Source organism: Homo sapiens, chromosome 20 (genome assembly GCF_000001405.40).
Source record: "Homo sapiens chromosome 20, GRCh38.p14 Primary Assembly".
NCBI lineage: Eukaryota > Metazoa > Chordata > Mammalia > Primates > Hominidae > Homo > Homo sapiens.
This window is the reverse complement of record NC_000020.11, coordinates 38,451,957-38,474,714: the sequence shown is the minus strand read 5'-3', so window position 1 is coordinate 38,474,714 and position 22,758 is coordinate 38,451,957. Positions and strand designations below refer to the sequence as shown.

General features: G+C 45.8%; 1 protein-coding gene across 3 annotated transcripts in view, besides 2 other annotated features; it reads right to left on the bottom strand.

Moving 5' to 3' along the window:
- Positions 1–1,872, bottom strand: part of RALGAPB (Ral GTPase activating protein non-catalytic subunit beta) — a 106,016-nt gene extending 104,144 nt beyond the window's left edge. For 2 of the 3 annotated variants that reach the window (NM_020336.4, NM_001282918.2), the window contains exon 1: positions 1,646–1,872. The gene's annotated coding sequence lies outside the window, so the exon portion shown is untranslated. The remainder of the gene's footprint in view (positions 1–1,645) is intronic. The other variant, NM_001282917.2, reaches the window with a different exon arrangement.
- Positions 1,592–1,791: a silencer, noted in NCBI's record as "silent region_12899". NCBI's record gives its function as "represses an Ori minimal core promoter by ATAC-STARR-seq in GM12878 lymphoblastoid cells {active_cell/tissue: GM12878}" and the evidence as "EXISTENCE:reporter gene assay evidence [ECO:0000049][PMID:35858748]".
- Positions 2,082–2,151: an enhancer, noted in NCBI's record as "active region_17860". NCBI's record gives its function as "activates an Ori minimal core promoter by ATAC-STARR-seq in GM12878 lymphoblastoid cells {active_cell/tissue: GM12878}" and the evidence as "EXISTENCE:reporter gene assay evidence [ECO:0000049][PMID:35858748]".

Genomic DNA, 22,758 nt, shown 5'->3' with positions numbered 1-22,758 from the left:
AACTGATAAGTTTCACTACGATGTTCCTAAAGAGCAAATTGGAAGGACTCAAGGTGGGTAGGGGTCAGGGACAGAGGTATCTTGAAGGGAATGCTTAAAGCTAATGCAGCCAGAGACAGGAAGAAAAGGGTATGTAGGCCTGGCACAGTGGCTCGCATCTGTAATCCCACCACTATGGCAGACCATAGTGGGTGGACTGCTTCAGCCCAGGAGTTTGAGACCAGCCTGGGCAACATGGAGAAACCCCATCTCTACAAAAAAAATTCAAAAATTAGCCAAGCGTGGTAGTCCCAGCTACTTGAGAGGCTGAGGTGGGAGGACTGCTTGAGCTCAGGAGGCGGAAGTTGCAGTGAGCCAAGATCATGCCACTGCATTCCAGCCTGGGCAACAGAGCAAGACTCTGTCTAAAAAAAAGAAAGAAAGAAAAGAAAAGGGTGTGTATATGCATATAGGAGAGAGCAGAAGTGTGTGCGTTTGGGTGGGATGGCCAGAACGTTCAGAGGATGGTCTAGGCAGACTTCCAGCATATGTAAAAACGACCCAGAGGTTACAGACGCTACACCTATAAGTACTGTATATTTAGGAAAATTGCAAACGAGCAGTTTGCATAAGATGCATACATTTTAAATGTTCCAGATGACTCAGAATCCCTGCAGAGAATTCCATCCCTAACAGTCTTTCACAAGGTGTAGTGGTCAGTCAACCTAAAGATCTCTGCGGGTGGAACCTGCAAGTTTAACAAGCTCCCAGACAATTCTCCTGCACACTTAAGCTGGAGAAAGAGAGATGCTTTTTGAGATGCAGAATTATCAAATTACATGCGGTTCCCAAACTTTGCTGCAAGCTGGAATCACTTGGGCATCTTTAAAAAAAAAATATTGAAGTCTGGCTTTCAACTCCAGACATTCTGATTGTTTTGGTCTGGGATGCCACATGGGCATCAGAAACCTTTACAATTTCCCCCAGGTGATTCTACAGTGTAGCAAAGTTGGAGAGCCACTGCCCTAATTGTTAAGCACTTGGGTCGGATGCTCCGGTTCAAATTACTAGCTATGTGACCTTGGGTAATTAAGTCACCCAACCACCCAGGGACTCAGTTGCCTCGTCAGTAAAATGGGGACAACAATCCTACCTCACAGGGTTGCTGTGAAGTTAGACGTGGAGAACGTAATGGCCTGGCATGATGCCTGGCGGATAAGAAGCGCTTAATGGGGGTTAGCTGTTTACTCCCATCATCAACTCTCCCTCATCAAAGTGTCACTGTGCAATGGGCAGCATCGTCCCCACTGGGCGGCAGCAACTTGCCTAACCTTTCTGCTGGACCAAATTCTTTGCGGGAGTTGTCTAGCTCCGCTCCAGACCCGCCCCCTCCCCCAGGTTGCCAGGAGAGAGCTTCGCCTGGCCGGGGTAGCTCCCAAGGATTAGACCGGGTTTACACAGACTCGACAGCAGCCGCCCACTCCAGGGCCAAGCTTTCCCCGCCCCCGTGGGTCTCCCAAAAATTTGCAGATGAGCTTCCAAAGGCCGGGCCCCTGGAGCACCCAGAGCCGAGAAACAAGCCTCAGCCGTCCCTTGACCGCCAGGTGGGGAAGAGAGGGAAGGAGAGGGGAGGGTCCGGCCGCGGCGGGGCCGGCTGCCCGGTTACCTGAGGCGACGGGCGGGGCCCGCATCGCCGGGGCGGGCGCCGCCGCCGGCCGTCCTCGGCCTTCCGCCTCACGCGACCCGCGCCATAGGGCTGGCGCTTTCACCGCCCTGGCCGGCCGTCCTCAGGCGGTCCGTCAGTCCACCCGTCAGCGACTCTCCCAGGGCGCCAAGGGACGACGAAGGCCACTCGAGCCAGCCGGCTGGGATCTGCTCAGGCAACTTCCGACTGCCAGGGGCGGCGGCGTCAAATAACTCCCCAGCCAAGTGGGCCACTGCGCGTGCGCGGTGCGCCTAATCAGAGCTTTCTACGGGGCTGAACCGGTGGCGTCAAATAATTCCCGAGACACAGAGCCGGAAGCTGCGCCTGCGCAGCTATCCCAGATCGCCGCGCGGGACGCATTGCGTTCCTCCCATTCCGGATCAAGTGGAGAGGGAGGAGTGAAGTGACGGATGCACCTACCTCATCGCGGCACAGAGGAGGCGCTCTACCTGCGTCCTTAGGAATCTTACGGCATCCACTCTACCTGCTTTCGGTGCAGACGGATAAGGGGCTTCTCTGCAAGATTCTGGCTCCCACCTAGGTTCTAGGAATTTCTCCCATCCCACCATTACAGCACTCTTCCTCTGAAATGATGCCCTTTGCTCGCCGCCGTCTTATTACACGGGCACAGCATTAATTATGAACAGTGCTCTATTCCAGGCCCGGTGTGGGTTACAAAGGTGAATCGAACATAAGATTTAGAGCCTCTCATTAAAGAGCTGAATCTGATCGAGATAAGACAGTAGTAATAATACTAAGAGATACTACTTCGAGCACCTGCCATGCGCTAGACATTTTGTAAACAGTACCACTTTCAATAATTTGCTTTCACTTCAACGAAGAAAATAATACCATTGGAGAGGTACAGCTTAAGTGCTTTGAGAATCTAAAGGAGGAAACTTGGACTGAGAAAGAAGAGGAGGGAGGGATGGTGGAATTCTTCACGGAGGACCTGGCCTTGAGACTGACCTTGGGTATTGAGAGAGGGAGGAGGGGTCAGGGTGTTGAGTAGAGGTGAAGGCACGGTTGTCTGAAAAGCAGAAGGGAGCAAAGAAGATTCTGACTCCTCACCTCAGTTAGAAGAGACTATGGAGGAATGAGTGATAAGGGAACTAGTATCCTCACAGAAAGGGTAAAACTGAAGAGTGTTTCCTCAAGACCACACCTCACCCCCCAGAAAAATAGCTACAGGAAGGAAGAGGGAAAAGGAGGGTAAGAATGTGCTAGGACAGGAACGAGGCTATGTCCAGGACACTGGATCCAAGCAATACATTTCAATTAAACACAGTGTGACAAATTATGTAGTTGGCTAACTCAAGATCTATTTCAACCACTCCCTTGCCTTTCTATACTACAGGGGCTGAAAAGCAAAGCACACAACTCTCAACTTTCTTTGCTGCTAAGGGTGGCAGTGAGACAAAGTCCTGGCCACTGAGATGTAGGCAGAAGTATCAAAGGAGACCTTCCCTTCCTTCTTCCCTTGGAGAAGTTTGTGTCCTTCACTTTTCCCCTGCTTCATGCTTGGAACTGGGTAACACCTGGGAGCACAGCAGCCTAGAGGCCATGAGGAGGGCTGTGCTGAGGAAGGTGGAGCAGAAAGACAGGAGCCTGTTTGTTTAAGTCATACTCAAGCAGCTACACAAACCCTGTACTACCTTCCTGTCTTATCGGGATGAGGGATCTTATATATACCAGAGTTTGTTGAGTTTTATGTTACTTGCAACCAGATGCATTCTAACACAATTAATACTGAACCCCTGTAACAGACAAGGGAGGGGTGACTAACTGGAAGAACAACGGGTGATGGGAATTGGAAAAGTGACAGGCACAGAGGATGGGAAAGCTGTCCCAAAGCCCTTGGGGAGATGATGAAAATACAGCTATCACCCTTCTAGTGGTTTCAATTCATTCCTGAAATTCTGCTTCTAAGTGGAAAGCTGTTAAATTTTTCCCATTAATTAAAATGGGCAAAATTGTGTTCAATTCCAGCCTAAGGCACCTAAATATTTTTAACAGAAAAAATATATTGATGCAACAGAAAATTATACAAACAAATAATTTTGCTTAAAATATGGTTTTTACATAACATGTAAGGCAGTAAGACTTACTGCTCTGGACAGAAAGACAAGATTTAATATTAGGTGCAAGTTGGTGGAGGAGAGATGCAAGTGAGTGGTTCTCTAAATGATGGTTTGTTTTTTTAAGACACAGGGCCTCGCTATGTTGCCCAGGCTGGCTTCAAACTCCCAGGCCCAAGCGATCCACCTGCCTCAGCCTCCCAAGTAGCTGGAACTAAAGGCACACATCACTGTGCCTGGCATAAAAGATATGTTTTTTCTGCACTCTTTGCTAATTTTTTAAAACTTTTGAAGTCTTCACTTAAACAAACATAAAAATAAAACACACATACGCACATATACCTTGAGGGAAAATTAAAGACTAAACATTAGAACACTTTGAAACATTTGAGAAAAGCACACATGTACAATAAACTTAAGAGACACATGAGATGCTACACATAGTAAAACATTTTGGATCTCCAAACATAGTGCACAATTCAAATTTGTTCCACGGCATGATCTCTAACTAGAAACATCGACTAAACTGGGGAATGTCTTCATCTGAACTGTAATGTCAAAATATCATTGTGTATAGTGTGTTTGGAAAGGCACAGAATTGGAAAAAAGAGGAGCAGCGGTATAAGCTTTTGTGACAGACTTTTTTCCAAAGATCACTACACCAGTCTTTTTTGTTTTATTTACCCTGAAAGCATCATTCTGGGAGATGCCATACCAATCTATATGATCCATCCCATGGTTCTCCTTATGATGTAACCGACACTCCTCCCACTGAGAAGTGGGATTGATGTTCCTTCTCCTTGAGTCTGGCTGCGTCTGTGACCATTCTAACCAATAGGGCAAAAGTGATGCTATGTGATTTCTGGGGCTAGGTCATAAAGAAGACACAGCTTCTACCTGGCTTGCTCCCTATCACAATGCTCACTCTGGGACCCCAGCCACCATGTTGGGAGGAAGCCCAAGCCACATAAGGAAAACATGAAGAGGTGTTCCAGCTACCAGCCCTAGCTAAGTTTCTGGTGACAGTCAGCATCAATAGCCAGACATATGAGTGAGGAAGCCTTCAGATGATTCCAGCCCCCAGGCTTCAAGCCTCCACCCCAACCTGACACCAAGCTGAGCAGGGACAAACTAACCCTATTGAGAGCAGCCCATAAGAGATGTGGATCCATGAAAAATATTGAGCAGTCCATATAGCAGATTCATGAGTAAAATAAACATTGTCATTTACCCCAACCACTAAGTTTTGGGTTAAATTGTATACAGTCGCAGTAATTGGAACACTTTTCAAGAACCATAATTGAGAAAAGTTTGTAAATGAACAGCTGTATGTGAGATACGTCTGTGGCCATTTTTTTCTTGTTTTATTTTTCCTTCTTTTTTAATTGTGCAGTACCAGCTTGGGGTAGAAATAGTTGGTCAGACCCATTGCTGTTTTCCTGAACCTAAAACAATACTGGCATGGTGTTAAGTGCTCAATGAACATGTGTTGGATGGATGGATGGATGGATGGATGGATGGATGGATGGATGGATGAGGGGACGGATAGAAACTTCATTGGCTCAGTGCTGAACCCACCTTCTTGCTCCTACTGTTAATTCTTAGTGGATAGTATCCAGTGGTTGATGGTAGTAACACCATTAGATTCAGGCAAGTGAGGCCCCTTGTGCCAGACTCTGTGCCTTAAGAGGGTCCTGCACTTTGGACTGTATTCCTCAAAAGTTTGTAAGTGCCCTTCTGGGGCTAGCAATGCCATTTAGGAAGGGTGTCTCTGTCTAGACCAGATCCCATGTGACTCTTGTTGACCACAATTTTCTACCTTGAAATTTTCTAAGTCTCTCTCCAGTGGCTGGGACTAGCTAGGGTGAGTGGTGCCATCTAGGTAGGGCAACCGAGCTCCAGACCAAGTCCTTTCCCTGTGGGTCCCATTTGCTGTTTCTCCTCTTCAGGGTGCTCTCCAACCCTCTCTCTTACCCCTACCCATCTCTCACACATATGTAGGGTCAACCAGATGCCCTGAGAAGCTCCAGAATTCATGTTTATGGAGTCGTCATGGCCAGATCTGGTTCTGAGAGCAGCCTTGCAAGCAGCTCACTCCTGCTGCCTGGTGTAGAATTTCTTTCACTAGATTATATGAGATTAGGCTGTCAGAAATGCTGCTGACATGCTTTCACTCACTTGGACACAGCACGAGTTCAAGGATCTGGGCTCTGCAAATGCTTGTGCTTGAGCTGCCTGAGTGGATATATGCCTTGGCTTATACCTCTGTCTTCAGACCAGAGTACCACCTCTGGCTTATTGCAGCCAGGGTGATCTTGGGGAGGGGGATACGTGTGGCAGGCATCCTTTACCTGTGCACCCCTTCCCCAGCTGACTCCAGGGCAGTCACCTCACCACTTTGGCAGACTCCGGATCAGCTGTCAGTCTGTCCTCCAGGATTGGCCATGCCTATGTCCTCTGTCTTAGTCTGCTCAGGTTGCTATAACAAAATACTACAGCCTGGGTACCACAGTCTAAACAACAGATGTTTATTTCCCACAGCTCTGGAGGCTGGGAGGTCCAAGATCAAGGTGCTGGCCTATTTGGTTCCTGGTGAGGGCCCTCTTCCCCACTTGCCTTCTTGCTATGTCCTCACATGTTGGAGAGAGGAAGCTTTGGTGTCTCTTCTGCTTTTTATAAAGGCATTAAACCCGGCTGGGCACAGTGGCTCACGCCTGTAATCCCAGTACTTTGGGAGGCCCAGGCGGGCAGATCATTTGAGGTCAGGAGTCCGAGACCAGCCTGGCCAACAGGCAAAACCCTGTCTCTATTAAAAATACAAAAATTAGGCCGGGAGCGGTGGCTCACACTTGTAATCCCAGCACTTTGGGAGGCCGAGGCGGGCGGATGACGAGATCAGGAGATGGAGACCATCCTGGCTGACACAGTGAAACCCCATCTCTATTAAAAAATACAAAAAAATTAGCTGGGCGTGGTGGTGGATGCCTGTAGTCCAAGCTACTCGGGAGGCTGGGGCAGGAGAATGACGTGAACCCAGGAGGCGGAGCTTGCAGTGAGCCGAGATCGCGCTACTGCACTCCAGCCTGGGCGACAGAGCGAGACTCTGTCTCAAAAAACAAAAAAACAAAACAAAAATTAGCCAGGCATGGGGGCGCATGCCTGTAATCCCAGCTACTCGGGAGGCTGAGACAGGAGAATCGCTTGAACCTGGGAGGCGGAGGTTGCAGTGAGCGGAGATTGTGCCACTACACTCCAGCCTGGGCGATAGAGGTAGCAAGACTCCATCTCAAATAAATAAACAAACAAACAAACAAACAAACAAACCTATCATGGGGGTTCCACCCTCACGACCTTATCTAAACCTAATTACCTCCCAAAGCTCCACCTCCTAATACCATCACATTGGAGGTTAGGGCTTCGGCATATGAATTTGGGGCCGGGAGGTGGGGGGAACACATATTCAGTCCATAACATCCACCAAGGATTTTTGAGATGTTGCTCCCCAACACCAACATACACCTCCTATTGATGTACTTTCACACCTCCAGTTGAGACATTATTCTCTCACCGGTTTTAAGCCATGGAGAATAAGAGATGGAAGTATCCTGCTTAAATGAGCTTGCTCTTCTCACTCTGCTCACAGGCCTCTTGCTGTGCTCCCTGCTAATGGTGGCATGTGGAAGGCAGGGGTGCAGTCATCATTGAAAGCAACCACATTATAGGAATGCAGCGATTTGGGCCTCAAGAGGTCAAGATACAGTTGTAAGAGGCGTTGTCCTACATTGAAGAAAAAAATTCCCAGTGGTAAATTTAACATGACCAGAAAATAAATTATCATGCACATTTTCCTGCATACTCTTGGCAACATTTATATTTGTAGTTCTCATCAGTAAGGCACAGTAACTATCTTTGAGAACAAGTCAGCCACCCATAGATGATATAGCATCGTACATAATGATATATCCAGCATTAAATAAATGTATTAGGGAACTGCAAAAGCAAGATCTTCAATAGTAACAGGTTCCAAACAATGTACCATTTTTTGTGATGAGAATATAAGAGTAAGCAGGAATGGCACATTTTACATTAAATAAACAAACAGAAAAAAGATGAAGAGATGGTTCCTGGACTAGAACAGAAAGAGACAGGGGCCACGCCAAAAATCTTGGTCCTGGGCCTTGCACACTCCAGGACTGCCTTGGCTGGTGTCCTGCGCTTCCCCCTATAGTCTCCTCAAGCTCCTTTGAGCCCACTTCCTCCACTCTTGAGAACACTATTTTCCAAGTAGTCCTGATTGTCAGCCTGAGCCCTCACTGGGCCCTCACTTGTACCCCAGAACACCCCCTCCAGTAGAAAAGGCCCAATTTACACACACACTTCTCCTTCTTGGAGGGAGCATACCTGCTGTTTTATTTTTAATGCCAGAAAATACATTTAGGGACCAAAAAATAACGGCAAGCCACTGATAATGGATTGTTTTCTGAATACTGTGTGCAAAGGCTGCCATACATGTTTATTTTGAGAGCTCAGCATGCCATCCTGTTTGCTGGAATCCCTCATTAGGTAGGCCAGTGTCACAGATGGGAAAGTCAACCTGGATAAGCAAAATACCCGCAGTGCCTCATCCAACAGCCAAAACCCAGTGGAATTCCACAATAACTGGCCATTTGGGGCAAGATAAGGAAAAGACTCAGGCTTTTAGCCAGAATGTGTTGGTGACAGAAACCTAACTTATGCTAAAAAGAAATAAATAAAGAGTAATATTGATTGGAAAGCTTACATAATCAAATGAGGGGGAGGGCAGAGATCAAGTCAGACTTGCAAGACAACACCAGGAACTGGAATTCCATTGAGACTCCCCGTCCTGTTTCTCTGCCTCTCTCCATCTATGGACTTCTAATTTTACACTCACTCAGCTTTCTTGCATATGTGAGGAATGCATCCCAGGTTTACCTTAGAACAAATCTCCATCCATCTTCCACTGAGGGTAGGCAGAACTGCCACCCCTGCACAACTGCCACATATGGCTGTGCAGGTTGTGTACTGCACAACTCATGGGAGCACCACTCACCTATGGTTGAGAAGTAGAAATGCTAGGGATGCTTGGCTGAGCCAATGCCACTGAAAACGCTTAATTTAAAGGAAAGAAAATGATAGGTTTTCCTAGAACCAAAGATAGTCCTTGGTGAGCCCATTCCAAGAGAGTTCAAGGAATCCCACCCTGGCCCATAATGATTGGCCTCCCTAGTCAAGCTTTCAGGGAATAATGCAAAGGCATTGGCTCTGCAAAGCTTTATATCCCCAGGCTGAACTCACATCAAGCAGAAGACAGTTAAAACTGAGACAGCAGAGCCCATACAGGGCCTATTAGAGATGAAGAGAGGTTTACAAGGTAAATGGGGCCTTCTGAAAAAGGTAGCACACATGGCAACACCTATGACACAGGACCCGACAAACCTTAAAGTTACTTAGATATTTGCCAGGGAAAATGGTCATAATTATATTCCTGTGTGATTTGTTTCACTATAGAAAAGCTGTCTGACCCAGGCACGGTGGCTCACGCCTGTAATCCCAGCACTTTGGGAGGCCGAGGCAGGCAGATCGCTTGAGGCCAGGAGTTTGAGACCAGCCTGGCCAACATGGTGAAACCCCGTCTCTACTAAAAATACAAAAATTAGTTGGGCATGGTGGCAACTGGCTGTAATCCCAGCTACTCGGGAGGCTGAGGCATGAGAATCACTTGAACCAGGGAGGTAGAGGTTGCAGTGAGCTGAGGTCACACCACTGCACTCCAGCCTGGGCGACAGAGCGAGACTCTCTCTCAAAGAAAAAAAAAAAAGAAAAGAAAAGAAAAAGAAAAGCTGTCTGTCTTGGATTTGGCAGGGACAGTATTTTTTCTTTTTTGAGACAGGGTTTCACTCTGTCACCCAGACTGGAGTGCAGCGGTGCAGTCTTGGCTCACTGCAATCTGAACCTCCCGGGCTCAAGCAATCCTCCCACCTCAGCCTCCCAAGTAGCTGCAAATACAGGTATAGGCACCACAATGCCCGGCTTTTTTTTTTTTTTTTTTTTTTTGGAGACAGAGTCTTGCTCTGTTGCCCAGGCTGGAGTGCAGTGGTGTGATTTTGGCTGACTGAAACTTTCGCCTCCTGGGTTCAAGCTATTCTCCTGCCTCAGCTTCCTGAGTAGCTGGAATTACAGGTGTGTGCCACCATGTCCGGCTAATGTTTTGTATTTTTAGTAGAGATGGGGTTTCACCATGCTGGCCAGGCTGGTCTCGAACTGCTGACCTCGTGATCTGCCCACCTCAGCCTCCCAAAGTGCTGGGATTACAGGTGTGAGCCACTGTGCCTGGCCTTTTTGTATTTTTTTTAGAGATGGGATCTCAGTATGTTGCTTAGCTGGTCTTGAACTCCTGAGCTCAAGCCATCAGCCTGCCTTGGCCTCCCAAAGTGCTGGGATTACAGGTGTGCACCACCACACACAGCCAGTATATATATATATATATATGTGTGTGTATATATATATATGTGTATATATATATGTATATATATACGTGTATATATATATGTATATATATATGTATATATATATGTATATATATATGTATATATATATGTGTATATATATAACAATATATATAACAGTATATATATAACAGTATATATATGTATATGTAACAGTATATATATATAACAGTATATATATAACAGTATATATATATCAGTATATATATAACAGTATATATATCAGTATATATATAACAGTATCTATATAACAGTATATATAAAATATATATATAACAGTATATATATAAAATATATATATAACAGTATATATATAAAAATATATATAACAGTATATATATAAAAAAATATATATAACAGTATATATATAAAAATATATATATAACAGTATATATATATAAAATATACATATAACAGTATATATATAAAATATACATATGACAGTATATATATAAAATATACATATGACAGTATATATATAAAATATATATATGACAGTATATATATATAAAATATATATATGACAGTATATATATATAAAATATATATATGACAGTATATATATAAAATATATATATGACAGTATATATATAAAATATATATATGACAGTATATATATAAAATATATATATGACAGTATATATATAAAATATATATGACAGTATATATATATAAAATATATATATGACAGTATATATATATATAAAATATATATATGACAGTATATATATATAAAATATATATATGACAGTATATATATAAAATATATATATGACAGTATATATATATAAAATATATATAACAGTATATATATATGAAATATATATATATAACAGTATACATATAAAATATATATATAACAGTATACATATAATATATATATAACAGTATACATATAAAAAATATAAATATATAACAGTATACATATATAAAATATATATATATAACAGTATATATATATAAAATATATATATAACAGTATATATGTAAAATATATATATAACAGTATATATATAATATATAACAGTATATATAAAAAATATATATAACAGTATATATATAAAAAATATATAACAGTACATATAATATATATAACAGTATATATATAAAACATTATATATATGAAACAGTATATATATGTAAAACAGTATATATATATATAAGACAGTATATATATATGAAAAACAGTATATATATATACATATATATATATATATATACTGCCCAGCCCATTTATTCCTGATACTGATGTGCTGGTATTTTTATATATATATATATTTATATATATTTATATATATAAATATATATATTTATATATAATATTTTATATATAATATATTTATATATAATATATTATATATAAATATATTTATATATAATATATTATATATAAATATATATAAATATATATTTATATATATATTTGTATATATAAAATATATATATATTTATATATATATAAATGTTAAAACCCTTGCCCCAAACAAAACAGGCTGGGTGCAGTGGCTCACGCCTGTAATCCCAACACTTTGGGAGGCCGAAGTGAGTCTAACACTTGAGCCCAGGAATTCAAGATCAGCCTAGGTAACATGGTGAAACCCTTGGCTGGGCATGGTGGCATGTGCCTGTGATCCCAGCTACTTGGGAGGCTGAAGCGGGAGGATTGCTGAGTGGAGGTTGAGGCTGCAGTGAGTTGTGATTGCACCACAGCACTCCAGCCTCGGCGACAGAGGAGACTCTGTCTCAAAATCAGCCAACCAAAGAAAGAAAAAAAAAAAGCTCCCCTCTCCCTCTCCCCTCTTTCCACGGTCTCCCTCTCCCTCTCCCTCTCCCCTCTTTCCACGGTCTCCCTCTCCCTCTCCCCTCTCCCCACGGTCTCCCTCTCCCTCTCTTTCCACGGTCTCCCTCTGATGCCAAGCCGAAGCTGGACTGTACTGCTGCCATCTCGGCTCACTGCAACCTCCCTGCCTGATTCTCCTGCCTCAGCCTGCCGAGTGCCTGCGATTGCAGGCGCGCGCCGCCACGCCTGCGTGGTTTTCGTATTTTTTTGGTGGAGACGGGGTTTCGCTGTGTTGGCCGGGCTGGTCTCCAGCTCCTAACCGCGAGTGATCCGCCAGCCTCGGCCTCCCGAGGTGCCGGGATTGCAGACGGAGTCTCGTTAACTCAGTGCTCAATGGTGCCCAGGCTGGAGTGCAGTGGCGTGATCTCGGCTCGCTACAACCTCCACTTCCCAGCCGCCTGCCTTGGCCCCCCAAAGTGCCGAGATTGCAGCCTCTGCCTGGCCGCTACCCCGTCTGGGAAGTGAGGAGTGTCTCTGCCTGGCCGCCCATCGTCTGGGATGTGAGGAGCCCCTCTGCCTGGCTGCCCAGTCTGGAAAGTGAGGAGCGTCTCTGCCCGGCCGCCATCACACCTAGGAAGTGAGGAGCGCCTCTTCCCGGCCGCCATCCCATCTAGGAAGTGAGGAGTGTCTCTGCCCGGCCACCCATCGTCTGAGATGTGGGGAGCACCTCTGCCCCGCTGCCCCGTCTGGGATGTGAGGAGCGCCTCGGCCCGGCCGCGACCCTGTCCGGGAGGTGAGGAGCGTCTCTGCCCGGCTGCCCTGTCTGAGAAGTGAGGAGACCCTCCGCCTGGCAACCGCCCCGTCTGAGAAGTGAGGAGCCCCTCCGCCCTGCTGCCACCCCGTCTGGGAAGGGAGGAGCGTCTCCGCCCGGCAGCCACCCTGTCCGGGAGGGAGGTGGGGGTCAGCCCCCGCCAGGCCAGCTGCCCAGTCCGGGAGGGAGGTGGGGGGTCAGCCCCCCGCCCGGCCAGCCGCCCCGTCTGGGAGGAGAGGGGCGCCTCTGCCCGGCCGCCCCTACTGGGAAGTGAGGAGCCCCTCTGCCCGGCCAGCCGCCCCGTCCGGGAGGGAGGTGGGGGAGTCAGCCCCCCGCCCGGCCAGCCGCCCCGTCCGGGAGGGAGGTGGGGGGGTCAGCCCCCCGCCCGGCCAGCCGCCCCGTCCGGGAGGGAGGTGGGGGGGTCAGCTCCCCGCCCCGTCCGGGAGGGAGGTGGGGGGGTCAGCCCCCCGCCAGGCGAGCCGCCCCGTCTGGGAGGGAGGTGGGGGGGTCAGCCCCCCGCCCGGCCAGCCGCCCCGTCTGGGAGAGAGGTGGGGGGTCAGCCCCCTGCCCGGCCAGCCGCCCCGTCCGGGAGGTGAGGGGCACCTCTGCCCGGCCGCCCCTACTGGGAAGTGAGGAGCCCCTCTGCCCGGCCACCACCCCGTCTGGGAGGTGTACCCAACAGCTCATTGAGAACGGGCCATGATGACAATGGCGGTTTTGTGGAATAGAAAAGGGGGAAAGGTGGGGAAAAGATTGAGAAATCGGATGGTTGCTGTGTCTGTGTAGAAAGAAGTAGACATGGGAGACTTTTCATTTTGTTCTGTACTAAGAAAAATTCTTCTGCCTTGGGATCCTGTTGATCTATGACCTTACCCCCAACCCTGTGCTCTCTGAAACATGTGCTGTGTCCACTCAGGGTTAAATGGATTAAGGGCGGTGCAAGATGTGCTTTGTTAAACAGATGCTTGAAGGCAGCATGCTGGTTAAGAGTCATCACCACTCCCTAATCTCAAGTACCCAGGGACACAAACACTCTGCCTAGGAAAACCAGAGACCTTTGTTCACTTGTTTATCTGCTGACCTTCCCTCCACTATTGTCCTATGACCCTGCCAAATCCCCCTCTGCGAGAAACACCCAAGAATGATCAATTAAAAAAAAAAAAAAAGAAAAACAAAACACAGTCTCTCTAGCAGATCTAAATAAAACATGACTTAAAACCTGATTTCCTTCAGCACCTCCAATGGAAATGGAACATATTTCACAAAGGTAAGGTGGGAAAAGATCTCATTCCTTTTCTTTGTGGAATAAAATATAATCTGTTCTGTGTCTGCATTGTACTGCACTAGTGGCTCATTCAATCTCAGTAGTTACTGGGGCTCTGATTCCCTCGGAGTGCTGCAAAAATCCTGGAGAAATGCCAAAGACACCAGGGAGAACTCTCTGAACTTCCGTCTAACCTGTGTAATGAGTCACACACTCCCTTACTGGTGGGAAGTTCTTTCCCAATGAAAGCATTTGAGGCTATAAATTTCTCCTATGTACTGTTTTAGCTATACATCATACAAGTTTTGATAATACAGTATTTTCATTACCCTTCAGGTCTGAGTATTTTTAACATTTGTTTTGTTTTTATTTAGACTTTACATTGTAGTGACATATTGCAGTCGTCATCTTTCCTTTTTTTTTTTTTTTTTTTTGAGATAGAGTCTTGCTCTGTTGCCCAGGCTAGAGTGCAGTGGCAAGATCTCAGCTTACTGCAACCTTCATCTCCCGGGTTCAAGTGATTCTCCCGCCTCAGCCTCCTGAGGAGCTGGGACTACAGGCACGCGCCACCATGCCTGGAAGATTTTTATAATTTTAGTAGAGACAGGGTTTTACCATGTTGGCCAGGCTGGTCTCAAACTCCTGACCTCAGGTGATCCACCCGACTCAGCCTCCCAAAGTGCTGGCATTAAAGGCGTGAGCCACCACGCCCAGCCCATTTATTCCTGATACTGATGTGCTGGTATTAATATTTGAGACTTGCTTTGCAGCATCAAAGTTACCACATTCTATGCTGTAGATGATATTTGTAAATATTGTAAATATGCAAACAATATTAATACATACCCCAAAGGTGCTTGAGAAAAATATATACATTCTCTCAGTGTGGGTAAAGATTTCTAAATATATATTTTTAAAATATCTATTAAAATCAAACCTATGTTCCAAATATTACGGTACGAAAAGGGAAAAATAAGAATTTCACAGCAAAGAAGTCTGGCAGTCACCACCTTAACCAAGTGATCAAGGTTAATGTCACTGATCATGAGTCACATTGATATAATGTACCCCCCATATGATGTGATGAGAAGGGCATTTCACCTCTGGAGTATTCTTCCCAGAAACCCGTAGCCTCCAGTCTAATCATGAGAAAATGTTAGGAACACCTAAATTGAGGGCCGGGTGTAGTGGCTCATGCCTGTAATCCCAGCACTTTGGAAGGCCAAGGTGGGAAGATCCCTGAGGCCAGGAGTATGAGACCAGCCTGGCCAACATGGTGAAACCCCGTCTCTATTAAAAATACAAAAATTAGGCCGGGTGAGGTGGCTCACACCTGCAGTCTTAGCACTTGGGAGGCCGAGGCGGGTGGATCACCTGAGGTCAGGAGTTCAAGACCAACCTGGCCAACATGTGAAGGCCCATCTTTACCAAAAATACAAAAATTAGCCAGGTATGGTGGCGCACGTCTGTAATCCCAGCTACCCAGGGGGCTGAGACAGGAGAATCACTGGAACTCAGGAGGCAGAGGCTGCAGTGAGCTGAGATCCCGCCACTGCACTCCAGTCTGCATGACAGAGGGAGACTCCATCTCAAAAAAACAAAACAAAATACAAAAATTAGCCGGGCATGGTGGCACGCACCTGTAGTCTCAGCTACTCGGCAGGCTAAAGCATGAGTATCGTTTGAACCTGAGAAATGGAGGCTGCAGTGAACTGAGATTGTGCCACTGCACACCAGTCTGGGCAACAGAGCAAGACTCCATCTCAAAAAAAAGAAAAAGAAAAAGAAAAATCCAAATTGAGAGACATTCTACAAAATATCTTACCAACACTTTAAAACTGTCAAGGTCATGAAAAACAAAGGAAGACTGAGAAACCATTCCAGATGGAGGAGATTAAGGATACATAACTAAATGTAATGTGCTATTCTGCATGGCAGAGAAAATGGACATCAATGGGAAAACTGGCGAAATCCAGATAGAGTCTGTGGTTCAGTTAATGGTAATGTATCAGTGTTAATTCCTTAATTTTGACAAATGTGTCATGGTTACATAAGATGCTAATATTAGGGGAAGCTGGGTGAAGGGCATATGGGAACTCTATGTACCAGGTTTTAAATTTTTCTGTAAATCTGAAGTTATTCCAAAATAAAAGTTTTATGTAAAAAAAAAATAGCTGCTCATGGCAGGGCGTGGTGGCTCATGCCTGTAATCTCAGCACTTTGGGAGGCCAAGACTAGCGGATCACGAGTTCGGGAGTTTGAGACCACTCTGGTGAAACATGGCGAAACCCCGTCTCTACTAAAAATACAAAAATTAGCCAGGTGTGGTGGTGCACGCCTGTAATCTCAGCTACTCGGGAGGCTGAGGCAGGAGAATAGCTTGAACCCGGGAAGTGGAGGTTGCAGTGAGTGGAGATTGCACCACTGCAATCCAGCCTGGGTAACAGAGCAAGACTCCGTCTTAAAAAAACAAACATCAATCTGTTTAATCTTCACCACATCCCTCTATAGGAGGTCACTGAGGCGCACAGAGTTTAAAACTTGTCATCAAAGTCACCCAGTTAAGTTGGACCAGATCTGTGACTCCAAAGCCAGTGCTCACACCACTCCGGGCTGCATGCCAGCCACACCAACCACCGTTGAGCTCCTCCCTGCATCCTCCACGCAGCTTTTGGATGTGGACCACTCTCCTCCTTTGCTCAGTTAAGTCTACTTCCCTGACTCCCAAGAGGTCAGGTGCCCTATTTACTCTTGCAGCACCTTTCCCTCTTCCTCTGTAGAATTTCTCAGAGTTTTTAACAATTTATGCATCTTGTTTATCTTGATGAAATTATGAGCTAACAAATGTCTGTTTTCACTGGCGTGCATTCACAGTGCTTAGCACAGAGGCCAGCACTTAGTAAACAGGTAGTGACTGACTGAATAACAAACGCTGGGTACACTAAAGTTAACTCCAGTAGGATCTGTGTTAGAGAAGCACACCCAGGACTCGGTGTCTTGCCTCCAGAAGGCTCTGGAACATGAGGCAGGATTCCATCAGGCATGCCTGATATATACCTCGCCCTGCTCTGCCAAGATGGAGGAGAGGGGATACCAGAGAATGGGGGATCCAAGCTGGAGCAGCTTCATTAAGCCCCCACAAGATGCAGCAGCCTTCCTGTAAAGGAGGCATCCTTGAACCCCTTATTGTCTAAATCTATGATGTCCAGTAAGATAGCTACTCGCCATATGTGGCTACTGAGCACTCTAAATGTGGCTAGTCTAAACTGAGATGTGCTGTATGTATAAAATATATACCAGATTTCAAAGATTTCATTTGGGGAAAAATCTTATTAATAACTTTTAATATTGGCTGGGCAAGGTAGCTCATGCCTGTAGTCTCAGCACTTTGGGAGGCCAAGGCGGGTGGATCATTTGAGGCCAGGAGTTCGAGACCCGCCTGGCAAACATGGCAAAACCCCATCTCTACTAAAAATACAGAAATTAGGGTAAGGTGGCACATGCCTGTAATACCAGCTACTTGGGAAACTGAGGTGGAAGGATCACTTGAACCCAGGAGGCAGAGGTTGCAGTGAGCCAAGATCACACCACTGCACTCCAGCCTGGGTGACAGAGCGAGACTCTGTCTCAAAATAATAATAATGATAATTTTTAATATTAATTACGTGTTGAAATAACAACATTCTTTGATGTAATGGGCTAAATAAAATATATAAATATTACCAAAATTTATTTCACCTGCTTTTTATTTAATGAGGTTACTATGAAATTTTATATATGTGGCTCACATTATTTTTTTAACTGGACAGCATTGTCCTATACTATAAACTCCTTCATTTGCTTTGTTCAGACCCAAATGCCCATCTGAGAGCAAGGCCCAGCACATAGTGATTGTTCCATAAGTATCTGGAGTGTGAATTCATATAACTTATCATCTATACACGTTTATGCGATCCTCTTGAGGGCAACAACTTTCTTGTTCATCATGGTATCTCTATTCCCAGCACAGTGCCTAATAAATATCTTTTGGATGGACAAATGAACCTTCATTCTGTCCAGTTCTTCATTCTCCTGGCTCAATTCTGCCGTGGAATCTCCCACCCACTGTGTCACAGGGACTCTGGTGCCAGGCAACAGTTTCCTGGTAGGATCGTGGCTCTTCTTGATGCTAATCCTGGTTATTGGGCCACATTGGTGATACCCTTCTCAAGTTTCCTCAAGTTCTGTGGGTCTTGGATGACTCTTGCTTCAGACACAACAGTAGTGGGAAGGACACTTGATATTTTGGTGTTGGCTAAAACATGGCTATTGTCCCTGTACATGTCAGGTTCATAAGTTCAATCTGCAAAACCACTGATTTAGATGAAGACTATTTCAGCAACTCTAAATAATAGGCAATAATTTGAAGCAGATGGAACAAATAGTAAAATATCCTAATTTCCAGTATTCCAGTACAAACAAGCATCTGATAAGCTTGGTATGCTTATGCTATTTATGAAATCAGTCAGCCTGAAACATTTTTCACTATTTAATACAGCAGGAAATGGAAAACTAGCTGAGCCACTCATTAGGTGTGAGACAGGTCTCTTCCATTTCTTTGAGCCTTGGTTTCCTTATTTGTAAAATGGAAAATAATTAAATCTACCTCACTGGGTTGTTGTGAAGATTAAGTGAGGTAATTATACATACAGGCTTAATACAGTGCGTGGGACTTAACAGAATTTCAATCAATGGTAGCAGTGACTAACACCAACCCCGCTGGGATGTCTGCAAATTAGCAAACAAGAAAGAAGAAAGTATTTGTGGTGCCTTAGCAGATGAGCCTGTCATAATGACATTTTATATTTGTTCTTCATTTTAACTATCAACAAGCTATATGTGCTCATCAAATAAAAACAGCAGACATTTATCAAGCACTCCGTGCAAGGCAGTTACTATGTTACGCATTTAACATGCATCATCTTCATCATTGCTATTTGGGGTAAGTGCTATGTTGATGGTCAAATTAGACAGCCAGAAGCTGAGGGTCAGGGAGGCAAAATAATGTGCTCCAGGCCCCATAGCAATTAAGTGACAGCATCAGGTTTTCGTGTGTTTTTGTTTGTTTGTTTGAGACAGGGTCTCACTGTATTGCCCAGGTTGGTCTCAAACTCCTGGACTCAAGTGATCCTTCCACCTCAGCCTCCTGGGTAGCTGGGATTCCAAGTACGAGCCACCTTGCCCAGCCACATCAGATTCTTAGTGACTTCACCAGGCCCACCTATTATCAGTCGTACCCACAGAGGCAGAGGGGCCTGCATGAGTCATTTCTGGCGCACACTATCAAGGCATCTGCTGGTATCATTCCTCATCCCTAAATGTTGACTGAGCACCTTCCACCCGTCAGGCATTATGTTGGTATGCTTTTTGACTATAATGAGAAAAGATTCATTTTGCTCCCTTTAGTAATGGAAGTAGTGAATGTAAGGGCTCTCAAAAAAAAAAAAAAAAAAAAAGAGGCCATGTGTGGTGGCTCATGCCTGTAACACCACCACTTTGGGAGGCCAATTTGGGAGGATCACTTGAGACCAGGATTTCGAGACCAGCCAGGGAAACAATGTAAAACCCCATCTCTACAAAAAAATACAAAAACTAGCCCAGCCTGATGGCGCACACCTGTAGTACCAGTTACTCATGAGGCTGAGGCAGGAGGATTGCTTGAGCCCAAGAAGTTGAAGCTGTAGTGAGTCCAGATTGCACCACTGCACTCCAGACTGGGCGACAGAGTAAAACCCTGTCTTAAAATAAATAAATAATTAAAAACAGGCTGGGCATGGTGACTCACGCCTGTCATCCCAACACTTTGGGAGGCCGAGGCAGGAGAATCACTTGAAGTCAGGAGTTTGAGACCAGCCTGGCCAACGTGACGGGGGTTTAGTAGAAACCTCGTCTCTACTAAAATTACAAAAATTAGCTGGGTGTGGTGGTGCACACCTGTAATCCCAGCTACTCGGGAGGCTGAGGCAGAAGAATCACTTGAACCTAGGAGGCAAAGGTTGCAGTGAGCCAAGATCACACCACTGCACTCCAGCCTAGGTGACAGAGCAAGACTGTCTCAAAAAATAAACTAAAAAATTTTTTAAAAAAACGAAAAGGAATCTTGGTCACATAGCCATGCCTTATAAAAATTCAGAAAAAACTGAATCCCCAGGCCTCATGGCAAATCAGAATACTGCTCACAGTCATGCCTGGAGGAGCACGAACGTGGTTTGGAAACTGAAATTTCATTCTCCACCTGTGAGTTCTAGAAACTTGCAACAGGAGCTCAATGTTCTATGCTCCTAGGCTGCTGTTAAGACTTAATTACTCTGTCTCTTCCTGTTTCTGCAACCAATTACTCAGTCTCTTGACATGCAGAACTCTCCCAGCAGAAACACTGCAGGGCTCAGTGATCACTGCTATGGGTCCTGGACCAAGGTGATGGGTTAGGCCTATCAAGGCTGTCCTTGGGTGACTGAGCTTCCCTAGACCACTGAGCTATGGTTGGAGGTGAGGGGGATGGGGAGCTGACAGGTGCAGAGCTTGGCCTCTAGACACACCCATCCAGGTGCTGACCAGTTAATCCTGGCTTGATTCAGCTGCACCTTCACAACATGGTGAAACGTTCATAATCAGAAGCAGCACTGCAGTGGCCTCAGATGCCTGTTGTCTCCCCACTTCACTGAACCTGGTATCCAAAGGAAAAGCTTCCTTTTTTTTTTTTTTTGAGACAGAGTCTCGCTCTGTTGCCCAGGCTGGAGTGCAGTGGGGCGATCTCGGCTCACTGCAAGCTCCGCCTCCCGGGTTCACGCCATTCTCCCGCCTCAGCCTCCTGAGTAGCTGGGACTACAGGCGCCCACCACCACGCCCAGCTAATTTTTTGTATTTTTAGTAGAGATGGGGTTTCACCGTGTTAGCTAGGATGGTCTCGATCTCCTGACCTCGTGATCCGCCCGCCTTAGCCTCCCAAAGTGCTGGGATTACAAGCGTGAGCCACCACGCTCGGCCAGGAAAAAGCTTCCTATTGTCCATGGTCCATGCAGTGATGGCGGCTTAAACAGCCTGCAGTGAACGCCCAGCAGTGAGAGCTCCTCACTTTAGTCAAATCTCACCTTCCTGGGGAGGCCGTCGTGTCTACTCAATTTAAAATGCCACTCCCTCTGCTGGTCCCCAAACTTCCTATCTTGTTTCCCTGCTTTATGACTTTTTTTCCTTAACATTTCTCAAGCATTCTACCTATTTTAGTACTTTGTTTTATGATATGTCCTTGTCCTCCAAAATGTAAGTACAAAGCAGGGATTTGCTCTTTTGCCTGTTTTGTTTACCAGTTCCTAGAATTGTGCCTGCACAGAACTGATAATTGATATGAATGGAAGGAGGGGCGGGGAATCCAGTCTGGGTGGAGGTTCCGCCAGCAAAGGCTTCCTGAAGAAAGTGACACAAGCTGAGTCAGCTGAGCTTGAAGCGGAGGATGCATTCCAGGCGCATAGGCCGGGAAAAGAACATGTTCAGGGACCTTAAGCAGAAGGGTGGCTGAGGCCTAGGGTGCTTGTGTGAGAAAAGGGTGGACAGGCAGGCCACAGGCAGAGTGAGGAGGGCCTTGCTGTCTCCTCGGGAGAATGGGAAGTCTAGGCTAGAGGCTGAGGGTAGGGTCGGGCGAGGGTGGCAGAGGGCAGGAGAAGAAAGACCTAAGAGGCTGGGCCAGCGATGAGGACCATTTACAATTGGAAAGGAAGTTCTAGTGATTGAGAGGAGCTATCCTTCATCGAGCACTTCCTATGTGCCAAGTGCTATGCTAAGAGCTTCTAACATATTAGTTCACCAACCTTCACATCCAGCCAGCAACCACTAGGATGCATGAAAATAGGGTGATAAATGAGGGAACCCTCCACAAATCAACCAGTCTGGCTTAGTAAGAAAACTTTTATGCCAGGGGGCCAAGCCACAGTAAGTGATCCTATCTCTATAGCTGACACTCTCTTCCCCCACTGCGTGGCAATCTCACCTCTTCCCTTGTTTTTCAGTACTCCATCATTGTTGCCTCCCATAGAACAAACTAAAAAGGGCGTAAGGGACCCCCAGGTTGCAGGATTGAGGTAGTGGGTCAAGAAGAGCATGAGAGAGAGAGAAAGAGAACGAGAGATTAAAGAAGGGAGTGTAGTGTAGACACTTGTCCTATTAGCTGACAGGAACCTGCTTAGCTATGAGAGGGGTCAGTTTGCTAAGGAAAGACAGGTCTACCAATTCAAGGCACCAACCAGTGTAAAACTTCACTAAAAATAGTGGACTCAGAAAAGGGGAGAATTTTGGCCCCCTTTCTTTGGTGGGGGAAATGTGGTCATTTCTCACTAAAGGACAAAGGCCACAGTTGGATAAAACCGGCTAGAGAGGGGTTGCAGCAGGTGGGGGGATCTTCAAGAGAGCAAACCAGAGGTGTCAGGTGGTTCTTGGGTAGGAATAAGGAGGGGGGCAATGCAGAAATAAGGCCCTCGCCAGAGATGGCTGGCAGAGCGGACTCTTCAGCCAAGAATGTCTCCTGCTGGCAGAGGTCATCAGAGATGCCTGACAGCCTGGTTTCCCTCAACCCTAGTCACAG